The 20,153-nt window shown below is 38.9% G+C and overlaps 1 long non-coding RNA gene and 1 pseudogene across 1 annotated transcript; one reads left to right on the forward strand and one right to left on the reverse strand.

Annotated features, from left to right (window-relative positions):
* Nucleotides 1-14,650: 14,650 nt before the first annotated feature.
* LOC105370272 (uncharacterized) lies at nucleotides 14,651-16,799 on the reverse strand. The gene is made up of 3 exons (XR_942107.2): nucleotides 16,523-16,799; nucleotides 15,418-15,560; nucleotides 14,651-14,908 (listed from the first exon to the last, which is right to left on the reverse strand). It is a non-coding gene; the product is annotated as an uncharacterized LOC105370272 (long non-coding RNA).
* Nucleotides 15,010-15,562, forward strand: RPL21P111 (ribosomal protein L21 pseudogene 111; annotated as a pseudogene).
* Nucleotides 16,800-20,153: the final 3,354 nt, after the last annotated feature.

Raw genomic sequence — 20,153 nt, forward strand, 5'->3', positions numbered from 1 at the left:
CTTCACACGGTGGCAGAGGAGAGAAAGAGAGAGAGAGAGAGAAAGGGGGAAGTACTACACACTTTCAAACAACCAGATCTCTTGAGAACTCAGTCACTATAATGAGAACAGCAAGGGGGAAATCCCACCTCCATGGTCCAACCCCCTCCAGCAAGAATACAGAGGCTGCAGTTATCATGGCTCACTGCAGCCTTGACCTCCTGGGCTTAATTGATCCTCCCCAGTCAGCCTCCCAAATAGCTGGGACTACAGGTGTGCAACACCATGCCTGGCTAATTTATGTATGTTTTGTAGAGACGGTTTTTCATTATGTTGTCCAGGCTGGTCTGGAACACCTGGGCTCAAGCAATCCTCCTGCCTCAGCCTCCCAAAGTGCTAGGATTACAGATGTGAGCCATGGTACCCAGCCTTAATTTCTTTGTAAAAGTCCTAAAGAAAATAGAGAGTAGCATTGTATTTATTTGCTAAAAGAGAGTCAATTTTGGGAGCCCCATTACCAATATGAGGCTCTCCCTACAAACCCCGAATGTCAGTTTTTGTAACATGAGTGCCTGAAGAATCTTAATCTCTTAGCCAAGATGAAATCTTAGCCAACATGGAAAACAAAACAGATGACATCCTTCTAGGATAGAATATCTCAAACTTTTTGAGGATCCCTTATCATTCTCAAGAATTATTGAGGACCCAAAAGAGCTTTTGTTTTGTTTTGGTTTTTGGATGGTTTGGATGGGTTATTTCTATTGACATTAACCACATTTTCAGTTAAAACTGAGAATTTAAAAAATATTTTAATTCACTTAAATATAACACAATTAATTCATTACATGGTAGCATAAATTTTTTTTTGAAAAGTAACTGTATTTTCCAAAAGAATTTGTAAAGAGCAGCCTTGTTTTACATTTTTGCCAGTCTTTGAAAAGTGTCTAGCTTTACAAATGATGGTTGGATTTCCATATCTGTGTCTACATTCAGTGTGTTGCAAGATGTCCTTTTGTTTGTTTTTTGAAATAAAGTCTTGCTGTGCTGCCCAGGTTGGAGTTGAACTCCTGGGCTCAAGCGATCCTGCTGCCTCAGCTTCCTGAATAGCTGGGACTCACTGTGGGTGTGCACCACCACACATGGTTTGGAAGATGTCCTTTTGACTGAAGCGTGTAAAGAAAATCTTGCTTCACATTGATACATAGTTGGAAAACGAAAGAGCTTGTGGGTCTCAGGAAAGGATCTCAGGGGCCTGGGTTCCATGGACTATGCTTTGAGAACTGATTCTTTGATGGTGAGCCCAAGTCATCAGCTGAAGACAAGAGTTTCAGATCTAAGGACCAAAACTTGTCTACATAATCCAGGTTGACCAGGAGGCAGCAGTCAAGAAGAAAGATGTGTGGTCCCTAGAATGTGGTGCAACCAGGGATGTTTATGGGCAGGGATTGGGGATGGGGATGAAGGGTACATCTAGTGGAGGTGTCTAAAGTGGTTGTTGCAAATCATTCCTGCTGTTTTATAGGCCCACTATTTTAGGCATTAAAAAAATTTCTGTGTAGTCTCTCCAGGACATTCAGATGCCTCCTGAAGCCTTGTTCAACGTTTTTGAGGTGTCTTTGTGAGATGATCTGCAGTTAGGCCCTTTTGTTCAGTAAAGTAATGTGCTTTATTCAGAATTTTCCCTAACGGATTTTTTTCCCTACTTTGCCTTTTTCAGAAAGCTCATAATCTCCCGTTTTCGAGCAACGGTGTCTCTTGTTGTCTCATCTCCAGAGAATAGTCAATTTAGCAGTCTGAGGAATAGTCTGTAGGTTCAGATCTTTTGCAAGTTGTCTCATTTCCCTGGGAATCTGGCTGTAGAACTGATTAAATCTCATCAGTTCTGTGACCCTTTTTCCTGGTGCCTGCTTCAGCTTTCTGAATCCAGTCACTAAAATGGCCAACAGGTTCAGCAGCAAAGTCTATTAAGGAAAGATCCCTGTTACCCCCTGCCTTATGGAATGAGGCTCCATGACCTCTCTCAAGTGGGTTTAAAATCTATTGGTCCTTTTCCACATTTTAACTTTATAGTCCAGATTAGTCACAAAATCCCCATTTTAGCATGTGGCCAAAGACATCTCCCAGATGTTGACTGGCGGTTTGTGAAGGAACTTTGCACAGAAGGATATCCCTTATTTAGCATGCCTTCGTGTTGAGTCCTGGCAGAATGTCCACCCCATCATAGGGTCAAAGAAACTTCCCTTTCTCTTCAACCATCTTCCTTTCTTTTTCCATTTCTGCCTGGCCTTGCCTTGCAGACGGAGACAGAGATGTGCTTGGAGCCAACTTCAACCTCGGTCTCTGCTTCTTAACTCTCACTTCCCTTCAAGTCACCTGTGGAGTTTCTAAAAACAGAGCAACTTTGGTCAGAGGAGGAGAGATTAACTCTCTGTACTAGCATCTTTTTCCTCCAGCCTCCATCCTTTCTCCTCCTCTCTTCTACGCTCACTGACCTTTTCAGCAAGAAAGGAAATTAATGTTAGTTGAGTGCCTCCTATGTCCCAGCCACTTCCTGAAAACATTGTCTATTTCATTTAATCTAAAATCACCTTACAGATCTTTACTTTTTAGATGGATAAACTGATACTGAACAAAGCCACCCAAGGATCTGTCAGACGACATTTGTGCTCTTGGATCACTCAGTGCTGTGCTGCCTTAGCCCAGGAATGCCCTGAATTGTTTTCCTTCCAGAGACAAGGTCTGCTACATTTGAGTTCTCTTTCTCATTTTCTTGCCATGTGAAATGAAAGTAATTCCTCAGTCCTGTCAATACCACCCTTTTCATAGTGCTCATGGTTGTCTCCCAGTACCACGATTCCCCTTTGATCGTTTTATACTTCAGGTCTTGTTCGGTCTCAGCTGCCCTCCGATGATGGCTGCCTCACCGATCCCCCTCACTCTACTCTCACCTGTGTGAGAAGCAGCAGAACCTGTGACTAATGGTCAAGGGCATAGGTGCTGCAGCCAGACTCCCCATTTCATACCAAAGAAAGACCAAACCCTTGAGCTTGGCCTTCAGCTCTTATATTATCTTCCTCCAATCTATTTTCCAAACTTCTTTTCCATTAAATTGCCACATACACCTTCCAGCAACCAGAGCTTCTGGACATCTCTGTCTCATATTTTTGCTTCCTTGTCTTTATGCCTCTGCACAGCTAACTCTCTGCACATTAAAATTCCGTTCTTTTTCAAGATACAAAAACCAATGGAATTCTTTCTCAAGAACGCTTCCCTGATCTTCCTGGCAGACAGTAATCTATTTACTTTGTTGACTCCCACAGTGTTTTATTAGACCTCTCTTTGGCACTTCATCATGTTTTATTATTGATTGTAGTTATTTGTGTATCCATCTACCCAACTGGAATGTAAACCCCTCAAAACGGGGAATGTGTTGTATTAATATTTGCATTCCCCTAAGTGTCTATACAGTGTCTTTCTCATAATGAGAATTCAATAAAAATTGTGTTTAAATGACTGGGATATGAGTTTTATCTAATAATAATAGCTACCATTTATTGAGCTCTTCCTCAATGCCGAGTACTGTGGAGGAGGGCTTAATGAGTATTATCTCATTCAATCTTCACAATTTTACGAGGTACTTGTTTTCATTCTTCCCATTATTCAGATGAAGATATTGAGTCACAGATAGGTTAAGGAATTAGCCCAACATCAAACAGCTGATAAATGACATAACCTGAACTGGCCCCCAGTGCTATTCAACTCCAAGCCCAAACTGCATTAGAGTGCCTCCTCTGTTGTCAAAGGAAGACTTTATGGAGTTAGATCAGTGCATACACACGTATACAGTCATGTGTCAGTTGACAACAGGGATATGTTCTGAAAAATGCCTTGTTAGACAATTTCATCATTGTGTGAACAACATAGAGCACACTAATACAAACCTAGAAATATAGTATAGTCCACCATATACCTAGGCTACATGGTTTGGACTATTGCTTCTAAGCTACGGACCTAGGCTACATGGTATGCCCTGTTGCTGCTAAGCTGCAGACCTGAACAACATGTCATTATACTAAGTGCTGTAGCCAATTGTAGTATAATGGTAAGTTTTTGTGTATCTAAACATATCTAAACAAAGAAAAGATACAGTAAAAATACGATATGAAAGATAAAAATGGCACACCTGTGTAGGGCACTTAACATTAATGGAGCTTGCAGGACTAGAAGTTGCTCTGGGTGACTTAGTGAGTGAGTGGTGAGTGAATGTGAAGTCCTAGGACATTGCTGGATGCTACTGTGACTTTATCAACACTGAAGACAGGCCACACTAGATTTATAATAAAGTATTTTTCTTTCTTCAACAGTAAGTTTAAAACCTTTGCTGACTGTAACTTTTTTTAACTTTAGAAACTTTAATTTCTTAAAACTTTTTGACACTTTTGTAACAACACAGCTTGAAACACATTGTACAGTTGTACAAAAATATTTTCTTTCTCTATATCCTTAGTCTGTAAGCTTTGTTCTAATTTAAATGTTTTAAAATTTATTTTTACATTTAAATATTTTTGTTAAAAATGGAGACATAAACACACACATTAGCCTGGGCCTGCACAGGTCAGGATCACTGAGATATCATTAGGTGATAGGAATTTTTAAGTTCCATTATACTCTTATGGGACCACCATTGTATATGTTGTCCATCATTTACCAAAATGTCATTCTGTGGCACATGATTGTGCTTTCTGGTACCTTCTGCCATCTCAGCAGTCACTTTCTCAGCACTCATAGCTCTATCTTAGCTAAAATGCACTTCCTTCTTTTTGGGAAGGGTAGATTCTAAGAGCAACCACAGGGAGACCTCTCCTGCCAGCTGTGCTCCCAAGGACAGGAATTGAGCTCCACTAGGTGGACTGACTGCAGTGAACTCTCCAAAGGATATGTCAGCATTTACACAAGGCTGATTAAAATGCAGCAAACAAATCATTCACTGCCTAATACGCAATGCATTGTAGCTTATTTGATAGCGTACTTATGCACACATTTTCAGAAATATTCTTGTAAATCTTGTATCAAACCCTTGGGGAGATATTGGTAGTAAGCAGAAAATCAGCAAACACATTGATCCTACATGCTCTGTGATGTTAGCAGTAGTCACGAAATTGAATTTCATTTTAACATATTAAAATCAATATACAGTGTTCAGTTTAATTCAGAACGTAAATAGCATCAAGGGTTTTCAAGACAGAGAAAATAATAGTTCCTAACTTGGATATGTATGTATTATTATACAGGCAACTTTCCATTATTTAGAACTAGTAAGACCCTGAAATAGAAAAATACCTTGCTCAGCTTATCAGATTGAACAGGAACTCAAGTTCTCAATTGATCAGAATCAGTGGCTAAAAAGGGGTTCTCATGTTAAATTAACATGGAAAGTTTAGTCATTTTTCTCTGTAATTTTATTTCAGAATAAAATTTTGCCCTAAATGGCACTTATCACGTCTAATTCTCTAAACTGTATGTTACTACATTACCTTGCATAAAACTCCAGTGGGAGAGTGTTGAGAATATTTTTGCAGCGTGTTACAAAACAAAACAAAATTCTCTTTGCCATTGGTATGGTTTGGGTCTGTGCCCCTGCCCAAATCTCATGTTAAACTGTAATTCCCAATGTTGGAGGTGGGGTCTGGTGGGAGGTGATTGGAACATGGATGTGGATTTCCCTTTTTGTACCGTTCTCATGATAGTGAGTGAGTTATGGCGAGATCTGGTGGTTTAAAAGTGTGTAGCGGCTGGGCACGGTGGCTCGCCTGTAATCCCAGCACTTTGGGAGGCTGAGGTGGGTGGATCATGAGGTCGAGAGATCGAGACCATCCTGGCCAACATGGTTTAACCCCATCTCTACTAAAAATACAAAAATTAGCTGGGTATGATGGTGCGTGCCTATAGTCCCAGCTACTAGAGAGGCTGAGGCAGGAGAATTGCTTGAACCCGGGAGGCGGAGGTTGCAGTGAGCTGAGATGGAGCCACTGCACTCCAGCCTGGCGACAGAGCGAGACTGCATTTCAAAAAAAAAAAAAAAGTGTGTAGCACCTCCCCATTGTCTCTCTTCCTCCTGTGCTGGCCATGTAAGACATGTCTGCTTCCCCTTCACCTTCCACCCTGATTGTAAGTTTCCTGAGACCTCCCAGCCATGCTTCCTGTACAGCCTGTGGAACCATGAGCCAATTAAACCATTTTCTTTATAAATTACCCAGTTTCAGGCATTTCTTTATCACAGTGTTAGAATAGATTAATACAGACATTATGAGGGATGTGGGCCCAAGCGATGCCCCTTATTTTGGGATCTGGGAATCTGAAGTTCAGAGTTTGAGGACTCCCAGATTCTCTCACAATATTCTTCTGCTTTTCCTTCACACATCTCTAATATTATGGAGAAGGTGGGGAATAGCAGTTATTGCGATTATTACTGTATGATTAGTGTAGGCTCGTTAAAGACATGAAAATATGCCAGGGACGACACTGAGTTCTCCACACATGTGATTTAGTTAATACCCTTACTGCCCTCCCTGAAGTAGGCATTATTATTTCTATTTAATTGATGAGAAATAGAGACTTAGAGGAGTAAAACGATCTGTCTGAAGTCACATGATTTCTAAGGAACAACTGAGATTTCCACCTGGGTTTGTGTGACTCCACCTCTCAGGCTTTTTTCCATGACTGGACTGGAGGAGGGATTGCTGTTCTCTTGGACAAAATTGTATTCAACTTCAAATAAATAAAGCCTCACCTTTAGTGAGACTTGAAATCAGAAGATGAGAGAACGGTTTATGACCCAAGCATGAAAGTATGTATTTTCCAAAGCCCAAAGGTAAGAAAGAGTTGACACAGGTAATGTTCAGCAGCAGTGATTTTGTGGCTAACACATTCTTCTATTTTCATCATTGCTGCTGGGCCTGATGGATGTGATATTTCTGTAGGATCTCTTTTAAATGTCTAAAAGGCTAAATAGGAAGTATGTAGTCTACTGGCTAGTTTTTCAAAGTGCCTGGCTGTAGGAGTCAGGCTTGTAGAGCACATTCATCTTTTTACTCTCTCATACTGGTATGTGTGATGTCCAAAGTATACGTAATCATCCAGTCAAAAATGCTTATTGCCTGTATTACCTAAGCACTCTGAAAAAAATAAAAATCTCCTCAGTGGTATTTAAGTAGTCCTGCTTTTATCCTTAGAAGAATATATATTACCTGCTGGTTTCTAGATTTCTTGTGGTGATTGAGGAGAGCTGCACTTTTAGGAGCCACTTCTCAGGTTAGAATCACAAGGATGTTGTGAGGTAATGTCTGGAAAGCACTTTGAGCTCCTTTGAGAAAGGTGCTACATCAATACCATGTATTATTATTTATTATCAGCCTGAGAGAAAAGCACGGGCAGGAGATGCCTTTTGTTCCCTTCCCTGGATACAACAGTGCTGTGGCTTACATAGATTTCAGTTGTGGGGATGTTCCAGCACTTGCAGTCTTTGACTGGAAAAATGCAGGCTGCTAGGGAACACTCCAGGGAGAGAGGATCAGTTTAGTGCTACAGATGAAGAAGGACAGACTCTGAGGTTGTGCAGGCCAATCACACTCTTTCTTTAATAAGCAGAAGCTGTTTCTCCTGTTGGGAAATTTAATTCCCAGAGTGTGTGTGGGATGGGGGAGGAGATGCATTTTGCATTTCTGGAGATTCCGAAGCACTCTTTGAAAAGAAAAAAATCAAAGTGCTCAATACAGTATCCTGTGAGCTGGGTTCTGTTGCTTCCCGCCCATTCTATTTGTAAAATGAATACCCTCCTTGAGTTGAGCAGCTTGAGCTCACACAGTCTCCTCAGTGCCTTAAAATAAAAATAAACCTCATCCTTCTTGGCTGCAACAAAATTCAAGTCAATTTTAAAGTTCCAGCTCAGATGTCATTATTTCCTCTTTAAACTTTAAAAAATAGTTGTTATGGATTGAGTTTCGTTCTCCCGTAATTCATATGTTGAAGTCCTAACCCCTAGTACCACAGAGAGGAGCTGTATTTGGAGGAAGGGGTTTCAAAGAGGTAATTAAGGTTAAATGAGGTCCTTGAGGGTGGACCCTAATTCAATGTGGCTGAGGTTCTTAGGAGAAGAGGAGATTAGATCCCAAACACACAGAGGGAAGATCATATGAAGACAGAGAAGACAGCCATCTGCAAGCCAAGCAGAGATCTCAGAAGAAATCAGTCCTAATGACACATAGCTCTCAAACTTCTAGTTTCTAGAATTGTGAGAAAATAAAATTCCGTTGTTTAAAGCCACCCAGCCTGTGGTACCTTGTTGCAGCAGCCCTAGCAAACTAATACAATAACCAAAAAGTAATCAGTAAAAAACATCGTGTACTCTAAATTTTGCCACTCAAAGTGTGATCCCCAGGCCAACAGTTTTGGTGCCACCTTGGACCTGGAAAGCACCTTTGGAATGATCTGCCTTTTAACAAGCTCCGCAGGTGATCTGTGTGCATATAAAGGGCTTTCATTTTGTTTTTTTTGTTTTGTTTTTTATGGATTTTTTTGAGACAGAGTTTTGCTCTGACACCCCTGCTAGAGTGCAGTGGCATAATCTCGGCTCACTACAACCTCTGCTTCCTGGGCTCAAGCCATCCTCCCAACTCAGCCTCTCGAGTAGCTAGGACTACAGGCGCTTGTCACCATCCCTGGCTAATTATTGTATTTTTAGTAGAGAAGGGGTTTTGCCATGTTGCCCAGGCTGGTCCTGAACTCCTGGCTCAAGCGACCCACCTGTCTTGGCTTCCCAAAGTGCTAGGATTACAGGCATGAGCCACCATACCCGACCCATATAAAGGTTTGAGGAGTGCTCTCTTTGAATTATTCAGCTTGCCTTAATGGGTAACAAACCACTCCAAAACCAAGTGTTTAAATCAGCAACAATGTGTTATTTCTCAAGATTCTGTGAGTTGGCTAGGTGGTCACTCTTCCAATTTCATTGGGGCTCTCTCATGTAGCTGCATTTGTGCAACCTTTGCTAAGCAACTTGATCTCACAAGACTTTAATAACATTTTTTGTTGTTGTTGTTATACATGTTGGTATGGCTACCTTATACTTAGGACTAATGGCACTAAATAGTGCCACTATTAACTGTATGTTGTTCAGGGAAGGGCAGGGCCAATGGATTGAATAGTATGGACTTGCTGGACCTGAATCCATGACCGCTGCTTTGCCACACCAGTGTCCTTGGTAGCCTTGAATTATGATACTGGTAGAGGCATTTAATAATTCCATTTATGGTGGGAATAAGAAATTTTATTTTTAAGTAAGTGCATTTTTTTAGAAAAGGAAGTCAGTGCAAAGACCATTACTAAGTAAATGATGTTCTAGGGTGTATGAGACTATAGCAAAAAGCATGAAGCTAGTATGTAAACTATCAAAGTTTGCAAAACACTCTCTTAGTTCACAATTTGCAAATTTTGTAAAAGGTCAAAGGCCCTCCTACTACTTTCAGTATATGTGGGGGTCTTTGAGAAGATGATAGGAAAATAAAAAGATGTGAGGTCATTAAGATATTTCTTCTTCCTTCAACCTCAGAACAGAATGGAGGTGAGAAAGTACCTCCCTATTTCCCTTCTTAACTGTGTTGCTTTTCAACCATGATTATTATGGTAATATCAGCACCTGATATTTATGTGGGATCTTATGGTTTGAAAAACTCTCACACATGCTTGATGTCATTTGATCTGTAAAGTATTTTATCTGTATGGCATTTTATCCTATATAGAAAGTAAGCAGAGTGATCGCTTGTCTTTGAAGCGAAGGAAGGTCTGGGTATTGTTGGAATCATTCTCTCAGTAGGGGCAGAGCTTCCCCTATATGCATAGTTTTCTATAAAGCTGATCCTATTTGTTGGAGGCCAACAGTGCCTTTGGTTTTCTGGGAATCACTGGATAAATCACAGTCAACATTAACCACATGTTTTCCAGGGAAGGGCAGGGCCAATGGATTGAATAGTATGGAGGGCTGGCTGGACCTGAATCCAAGACCAATGCTTTGCCAAATCAGCATCCTTGGTAACCTTGCATCATGATACTGGTAGAGCCATTTAATAATTGGCAATATTGGCACAAAGTAGTGTGCCATGTAAAGCACTCCTGTTCTTCAATTTCTACTTCAAATTGTCATTTCTTCCTCAGGTCCTTTGATGTGGAATTTCTTTCCCCCTTTACTTGCAATTCATAGAAATTTTAAGGTTTTTCTATTCTATTCGTGTTAAATGACTTTGTTTGGAGTTATGTTTGTAATGACTTCCAGTGCAAAAAGTGATTCCTTAAGAGCAGAAACAAAGTCTTACCAATGTTTGTAGTGACCACAGCCTCCAGTACCATGCTTTGTACATAGCAGGTGCTGAAGGAAGCTTACGGGCTTGAGATTAAAACATAAGACACAAAGTATTACCAAAAAGAGAAAAGATTCTAATAGTATGTTATTTTGCATCAATATTCTTTTGAGACTTTTATATTTTGTAAATTGTAGCCTAGGTATAAATTTTTCATGGTCCAGTTCACCTTTTTAAGAAACTTTCTGTCATCCTTTCTAGATGTGAGAATTTAGGTTCATTTAGGAGCTATGGCAGAATAAAATGCTGCTATCCTGGGATCTGCGAGCAGACTTTTATCTTTAATTTTAAAATATGTAATCCCTATTTCTCCACTGAATTTTGAAAATTACAGGCACACATTTTGTGAAACATTCCTGTTTTTCTTTAGTTGTGTGTACATTAATTAATGGTTATTTATACACATGTTAAAAATGTCTCAGATAATGTCACTTGAATAAGACTTTGTATAGGTAGAACTAATACAGCAATTTAATAATTTACATCAGCATTAAGATTGGCTTAGCATTCAAAATAAAAGCTATTTAAGCAGGCAAAGAATTTAGCAGTAGCTTTGTATGTTTTTATGTAACCTATAATTAAAATTATTAATGGTAGAAATCTTTCAGTAACTCTACAGAATAACAGCTTGAATTCTCATGAACACTTGGTTACTGTCTCTAATATTGAGGATTGTACTGGCTCATTTCATCCCAGGTCCTAAATTTACTAAGGGATAGTGTCAAACCATTATTTAAAGGCTACACAGTTTTCTGATCATGTGCTAACCCCTGAGCATATTTTGTTTATTTGTGTAATTACTCCTCTTAGCTGTGAGAATTTGGAAGTGCAAGTACAGGAACAATATCTGCATACCATATTGTATTTGTTTCATATTTTCATTTAAAAAACCCACACACATTCTGCAGTAAGATGATGACAAGCTAGAAGTAGTCCCTAATATAACCTTTCCCAGCTTCTCATGAAAATACTCGCAAACAGCTCAACATCTTTTAGAAAACAGAGGCTCTTGGAAAGTTCCAAAATGTCTCATGGGGGATTGAAATATACAGACAGGAAGAGCTACTGAAGAAAATAACCATTGATTGATGCTTCAAAAAGCAAGGGAAATAAGGTCAAAATGTATATATTGTAAAATTAAAAGTATGTTAAAGGGAATGAAAAGGTTTGAATGCTCCTGAAAATTAAAGTTAATACTAAACCGTATGGCAGAGTCTGAGGTGTGAAGGGGTTTGCCATCTGTGATTTGGAGGCACTGGTTTGAAGAACCCAGTTGTAGCCTACACATGCATTTGAACCTGAACAGCATGGCTGGCTGGCACGCAGGATGGAGGACGTGTTGACTCATCAGTCAGCCTCTTGGATGAAAGAGTAGGGGCAGGTAACTGGACAGCTATCACCTACGTTTAGGACACATCTTTTGCATTGGCCAAAACAGAAACAGCCTTTATTTTGTGTATACTGTTACTTACAGACTCCAATCATCCTGAGTTGGGTGGTAAACAGATGCATACTGAAATTCTAGACCATATTTTGTTATAAGGTAAAGATCAAGCCCAGACACACACACACACACACACACACACACACACACCACATCCATATTTATATATGGTTGTGCACATGTGCCCTTGGTAACATTTTGGAGAATTTGGAAACTATAATTTGTAAGGTTATATAGGCCAAATTTTCTCACCAAAATAAATGAGAAATTCTATTTTTAAAAATCTAGATAGAAATGTTCAGGCCCTTAAAAGCTAAAAAATACCGTCCTAAAACCTGGTTAACAGAAACCAACCATGCAGTTGTAGATTAATTTAAACATACAAATATGAGAATATTATACATCAAAATGTATGGCATATTTAAAGATATGCTAAGAAATATATTAACTATTAAAAGATAGAAAATGTAAGTCATTTAATCATTAAATTCAATACTTAGAAGAAAGCAAAGAAAACCCCAGAAAGTAAGAAGATAAAAATGATAAAACTGAGATAGGAGCAATACAAGGTGGTCGCAGGAGAATGGAAAATTCCTGAAGGCCGTTTCACATGACTGGCAAAAGGGAACTGTTGAAATAGCTGCAGAAGCTAGTTGCTGATAAGACCTGAAAAACCAGGGCATGGGCCAAATTTGCTAAGACTGACTGGACCCAACATGGCACTGGATTTGACTTAGGTTCACCTAGGGCCTCATTAGATGCTCACGAACATACTAAATCACACACACACCAGTGTCATGACAGTTCTGGGAACACACATATTTGATGCAAAAATGGGCGGCATCACAGTTCCAAGAAACCTCCACCTATTTCCAGGAATTTTTATGAATATTCTACCCCTTGGTTAAAGAAACCCATAAAGGTAGCGGCCCCAAACCCCCTTGTGTGACTCTCTTGAGTACACTCATACTCCCCTTTCTTGAATGTGTACTTTTCATTCTACAATAAATTTCCACACTTTCACCATTTTCCAACTTGTCCTTGAATTTCTCCTTGCAAGATAGTGTCAACAGCCTGGACACTGGCCAGGGTCAGAGGTCCCACCAACGTTTGGAGACCTCCCTTAGCCCACCAGCATCAAAACTAACTGCAGAAATTAGTGAGTTAGAAAGCAAAATGTGTGATTACAAAGTAAATCTGGCTGGGCGCGGTGGCTGACGCCTGTAATCCCAGCACTTTGGGACGCCGAGGTGGGCAGATCACGAGGTCAGGAGTTCGAGACCAGCCTGGCCAACATGGTGAAACCCCGTCTCTACTAAATACACAAGAAATTAGCTGAACGTGGTGGAGTGCGCCTGTAATCCCAGCTGCTGGGAGGCTAGGGCAGGAGAACCGCTTGAACCTGGGAGGCAGAGGCTGCAGTGTGCCAAGATCGTGCCATTGCACTCCAGCCTGGGCGACAAGGTGAGACACCATCTCAAAAAAAAAAAAAAAAAAAAGTGAATCTAAGAACTGCTTAATTTTCATGAAATTCGGCAAGATAAATGTTTAGCAAAGCTAATTAATTAGATAAAATACATAAAATTAGAAATAAAAGTTATAAAAACTGCTTACATGAGCATATTACGTACAATTTTATATTAATAATTTTAGTCTAAATGAAATACATGATTATTTGTGGGGGGGGGGACTATATATGCTCAAAATCGACCTAACAATTGAAAATCTGCAAGATAATTTTTTAAATCTAAAAAAGCTTTCCCAAGGTATTTGTACAATCAACAATTTTAAAATTATCTGCAAAATTTACTGAGAAAAAAAGTTACAAAGCAAAAGTGACATGCGCTTGGGTAGACACCAGCACGGCTTCACTAATCTCTGAAGCAAGGTGGACATGGTCCTCTGTCAACTGTCAGCCAAGGTCCTTAGGAGACTTTGATAAGCAGAGCCCCCTACTGACCCACGCTGAACGTATAACATGAATGAGAAATAAACTTTTGTTTTGTTAGGTCACTGACATCTTGAAGTTATTTATTACTACCTATTTTGTCTGATACTGACACTGATATAAAAATATATTCAACAATGTAGAATAAATAACCAGAAAACAGCCCGATTATCTAAAACAATATAATATGCAATAAAGAGGGGCTGGGTGCCGTGGCTTACACTTGTAATCCTAGCACTTTGGGAAGCCAAGCCGGAAGGATCACATGAGCCTAGGAAGTTGAGACCAGCCTGGGTAACACAACGAGACCCCATCTCTACTAAAAATAAAAAACATTAGCTGGGCCTGGGCATTGTGGCACATGCCTGTAGTCCTGTTTACTTGGGAGGTTGAGGTAGGAGGATCTGTTAAGCACAGTAGGTCAAGGCTGCAGTGACCCATGATTGTGCCATTGCACTCTAGTCTGGGAGACAGAGAAAGACCCTGTCTCAAGAAACATACAACAATCGAACAAAAGTAAATAAATAAATGAGGCATCACAGATAAGTGGGAAGGCACAGAGATAACTAGTTATATGGAAAAATAGAGATTTTGATTCTTACGTTATACCATAGAAGAAAAGAAAAAGTCAAGACATAAAAGTAAAAGGCATCATGAGGGTGAATACTGAAACTCTGAAGAGGGCTGTAGGCTTTTGAGGGGATTTAAAAACATTTGGAACTGGAAAAAAAGCTAACTCCAAAGAAAGACTCATAAAATTTAAACTAATAAATGTTAAATTAAATATTAAGAAACTAAAACCTAGTCTGCTGCCACTCAAGTCTTAAATACAGTAATTATATGAGTTCCAATCACAAAGATAAAATCAAGTAATGTCTTCTTAGCAAAACTCATAATTTAGCTTATAAGATCTTATAATCAACATTGAATTCATCTTGGAGAATCCCAAAGCATCATTGGCCAGACTTAGAGCTTGGGTTTTCAACTTGGCTTTTCTGCTTGTCAGAGATGTGAGCTCTGATAGTCACGTAACCTCTTGAAGACAGCTTCTCTTTCTGTGAAGGCATTGAGTCAGGTGATCTTAAAGTCTCTTCCAATTGTCAAATACTGTGATAATATAATTATCTATAGCAATCAAAATATTTTAAAATATTGTTAAAAGGAGATATAAAATAACACAAAACAGATTGGCTTAAAAGAGAAAGCATATATTTATAAAAGCATAGCCTTTCGGCCAGAACCACCATCTTCCAGTAAATCGCCAAAATGATAAACAAAAGGGAAAGAGGAGAGGCACCCAATATATGTTCTCTAGACCATTTAGAAAACATGGAGTTGTTTCTTTGGCCATGTACATATGAATCTATAAGAAAAGTGATACTGTAGACATCAAGGGAATGGGTACTGTTCAAAAAGGAATGCCCATAGGTGTTGCCATGGAAAACTGGGAGAGTCTACAATGTTACCCAGCATGCTGTTGGCATTGTTGTAAACAAACAGGTTAAGGGCAAGATTCTTGCCAATAGAATTAATGTGCGTATTGAGCACACAAAGCACTCTAAGAGCTGAGATAGTTTCCTGAAGCACGTGAAGGAAAATTATCAGAAAAAGGAAGAAGCCAAAGAGAAAAGTACCTGTGTTCAACTGAAGCCCCAGCCTGCTCCATCCAGAGAAGTGCACTTTGTGAGAACCCATGGGGAGGAGCCTGAGCTGCTGGAACCTCTTCTCTATGAATTCATGGCATAATAGGTGTTAAAAAAAAAAAAAGACCTGTGGACTGTAAAAAACAAACAAACAAACAAAAAAAAACATGTATTAAACAAGTTAGTCTTATTTTCCGCTTGGAATTCGACAATTTGATGCATGTGTATACTTAGATAAGATACAAAGAAGACATGTGAGTCTTTTACTGTAGCAAAACTCCAGAATTCCACAGTCATAAATTCAGTCTTATGACCTGGTGACCTATTTTTGATGAGCAAATTTTTTGCGAATTACCCAGTAAGAAGCCAACACACAAAGTAAAAGGATAACATATCATGACAAGTATTTAGGTCATTTATTTTGATATGTGAGGTTTGATTTTAATTATTCATACAATTTCATAGTGCAGGAATAAGTGTCTTGTGTTATTTTTCCAAAAACTAATGAAGGTGTCTAAAGATAAGCTCTCACTAGAGCACTTTTCTATGAAATTCTTACAGAAACATTTGTTTAGTGAAACTTGCCAAATTTAGATTACATGACATCAAAATGAGTGAGGTTCGGACAAACTAAATGTGTTTTAAACTTACAAAATAATAGAAAGTAGATATGTGCTTAAGAATAGGAAATTAAGTCACCAAGTAATAGTTCTGATTTTTGCCCATTCAACCACTACTGCCCCTTTTCAAGTCCAGCAGTCAGACTGGACTAGGGGATGAGATCCTAGGCTTTCTTTTCACATTCAAGAGAAGGAATAGGTTTTTATCAAAGGCTATGAAATACTAGATAATGTCAACATCTGTCATTGACAGGAACATGATTGTCAAAACATTTATGAAGTAGATACTCTGTGCCAAGCACCGTACCAGATTCTAAGAATATAAAGGTGAACACAACCCAGTTCTTACTCTCAGGGAGCCTGAAGTCTACTGTGGAGATAAACACATGTATTAGTAAGGATGAAAACACTATTCTCTGTAATATACAAACACCCAAAGTTCATATGACTCAACATAACATAAGTTTACTTCTTACTTGTGAGTGGCCTTCTATGTTGTCATTCAGAGGCTTGAGTTTCTCCCATTGTTGGCTTGCTTTCTCCTAGATCTGTGGGGTCTTCTGCTGGATCTTTGCATCCAATTAGAAGAGAGAGTGTGGAGAATTGCACCAGAGGAGTTCATGGGTAAGGACAGAGAGTGATACACATCCCTTCTGCGCACCTTCTATTACCCAGAACTTGGTCACAAAGTCATACATAACTGCTGTGAAAGCTGGAGACTGGGGAACATGGGCCAATTTTGTGCCCAGGAGGTGGGAGAAACGTGTCAGTTTGCTGTACTATGTGAAGAAAAGGGATCACAATTAGTGTTCATTATTATAACAGAGCTGGAATGCATTGTGTGGTGGAGGTCAAAGGAAGGAGGAAATGACCTCAGCTGGGATAAGCTCACACAGGATAGGAATTAGTTAAGGGCACCTATCAAGTTGCAATTGCAAGTTGCAATTGCAGTCATAGGCTCAATAAATCCTTGTAGAATAAATAGAATTAAAAGTATTCCTAAATTAGGTTAAATGAAACCTTGGGAAATTTATAATAAAAAACTATAGTGTTCATTTAGTTGAAATTTTTAATGTTTTTATTGTTGATTTTTACGCTGTTGTAAGATATAATACAAAGGATTTATTGTACACTCTAACCAGTTTCATCTAATGGTAATATTTTGTAAAACTATGGTAGAATATCACAACCAGAATATTGACATTGATCAAATCCACCATTGACATGATCCTTATTTGAATAATTCAAATTATTCATATTTTCCTAATTTTACTTGCACTCATTTGTGTGTATGTGTGTATTTCTATCTATGTTATCAATTCCGCACCCCGAACCACATGATACAGAACAGTTTCATCACCACAAGGACCTCTCCCCCACTGCTAACTTCTAGCAACCCGTCTTCTTTCCTCTATCTCTAAAATGTTGTCATTTTAAAAATGCTATATAAATAGAATCATACAATTGTAACCTTTAGTGGTTGGTTTTTTTTTTACTCAATATAATTTTCTGCATAGTCAACCAAGTTATTGTGTTTATCAACAGTTCACTCCTTTTTATTGCATGATGTATTAATTCCATGATATGAATATATCACAGTTTGTTTAAGCATTTGCCATTTGAAAGACATCTGGACTGATTCCAGGTTTTGGCTATTGCAAGTACACTGCTATGAACATTGAAACAGGTTTTTGCAGGAACATAAATTTCCATTTTTCTGGTGTAAATGTCTAAGAGTGAAATTTGCTGGGTTGTATCATATGGAAATCACATATTTAATTTTATAAAAAACTACCAAATTGTTTTCCAAAGCTGCTGTACTATTTTACATTCTCATCAGCAATGTAGAGAGATCCACTTTATCTGCATCCTAACCAGCATTCCATGCTGTCATTATTTTTTGTTTTAGTCATTCTAATAGGTGTGGTTTTAATTTGCGTTTCTCTGGTGGCTAATAAAGGTGAACATCTTTATCAGCGCTTATTTTCCATCTGCATATCATAACCATATTGTTTTTTATTTTAAAGAAGTTTAGAGGTTTTCCAGTTCTTACAAGTAATTTCCCCTTCTTTTTATTTTAATTTAAAAAAATTGTGGACAATTCCTATTCATCTTTGTACACCCCATCTAAACTTCCTGTTTTCTTTGAAGCCATCTTCAACTCTCGAGCCTAGTTAATTAAACCTTTGTCTGGCTTCCACAGGCAAAATGAATCTCTGGCTTTGCTCGGTTCCAGTTTGTTTTTCTTTCTATTGTAGCTGTTACCAAAGCATGTTTTCATGAAGATGATTACCTGTCTGTGCTTCCCACTAAACTGTGTCCTGAGGGAAGGGACTGTCTTACATATTTTTGTCTCCTCAGGACCTAGTATGATGTCTGGTGCACTTAAATCCTTAATAAACATTTTCAATGACTTTGAGTGCTTTATGTTCTGCCTCTTTCCCCGAAGGATTTGAGGGTCTACTTTTTGGGCAGACACCATGCCGGACATTTTCACAAATGCTATCTCATTTAATTCTCTGAACCACCATGAGGTATAAGGATTAGCTCTCTATTTTGCAGCGAATGAAGCATAAACTCAGAGATTTAAGTAATTTGAAAGTTAAGACATCAGCAAACAGCGGAGCTAACCCTTGGCTGTGGATACTTTCGTTGCTATGCCATATTGCACAGAGGGGGCACAAGAGAGCTGTGTTCTCCCCCCTGCACTAAGGCGCCCCCGCCCCGATTTCACTCACTGTCTGCTACAAAATTGGTTCGTGCATACTACTGACAGTCTGTGCCTTTCTGGCCCACCACCTCAGAATGGGCAATGGCCATTGCTACATCGCCCTTCCCTGACTTACCCTTCCCAGAACACCTTCTTCCCCACTAGCCCCGAGGCTTAAGGCTTTTATTAACTTCACTAAAAAACTCTGCCAATGTCTTCATGGCTCTCCATTTTCTGTGGTGACCCCTGTGCCTTTAGCCTTTGGGTTTTTCCTTCCCATTTCACCTCTAACCTCCCCATACCATCTTCCTAGTTTTATAACACCTATTTCTCAATGGAATTAGATTCCAGTTAATTGGACGTTTTTGAGAGCCTATTGTGGAAAACACGCAATAGACTGTACGAGGAAGACAAAGATGGAGGCAGTGTCTTTTACTCTTAGAAAATTACCATCTAAGGGAAGTACAAAAAATAAAATCCCTATTCTTACTATATATGGCACTTAAGGTGCAGGCACTCTTTCTTTAGTTAATTCTGCTCTCAAATGCCCCAAATTTATACAAATGAAAAGCCAAAGGGGACGGTGCTCTGGTACCAACCTGAAACCTGTCCCATCACCAAGACAAGGCTGTGTTCCACCGTGCTCCATTTAATGATACTAACCTCACTTTTTTTCTTTAATATTGTTTGAATACTGAGAGCTTAGTGATTTTTTTTTTCATGTGAAGGAAGCACTGATGAAAAATAGACTCCAGATAGAAGAAAGTACTATTATTTATGTATCAATTTAATAAAAAACATCTTGAACAAAGTTTATAATATACTATGAATAAAAGATAAACTCTAGAACATTATACCTTGAAACAACCTAAGTAAAAGCAATGAAGTATTAAAATTTCATTCCTTTACTCTTTACGGGAACAAACTGGTATTAATAACACCTCATCAATTCTATGATGAACAATTTCACCTCTGAAATTGAGACCTGTCTTAGAGGTAATGACACTGCATAGTTTAATTGGCACCATTTTTTCCTTCTCAGTGTTACAAAAATGGTGCATCTTGCAATAGACGGTATCTTGGATTCTATGATATACAGTATCTGTTTGTCAGGTCCTAAAGGAAAAGAGAACTATCCCCATCTTATTTGATCTTATAGCTCTAGTCAGGGAGATAGATGTGTAACAAGATAAATTATTAGGTAAAGGGACAAATGCAGACAAGTGTGGCTGTGCAAATACCAAGGGAAGTAATGAGGTGTCCAATTCAAATCCATTCCTTTCTTCTTTCTTGTTGGCAGCAGGTACTCTCAGAGGGGAGGAGGTGGGTACAAATGTCTTTTACAAGCTGAGAGAGGCTGCAAAACACTTGTAAAGATGTTTAGTCATCTGTCCTTG

This window comes from Homo sapiens, chromosome 13 (genome assembly GCF_000001405.40).
Source record: "Homo sapiens chromosome 13, GRCh38.p14 Primary Assembly".
NCBI lineage: Eukaryota > Metazoa > Chordata > Mammalia > Primates > Hominidae > Homo > Homo sapiens.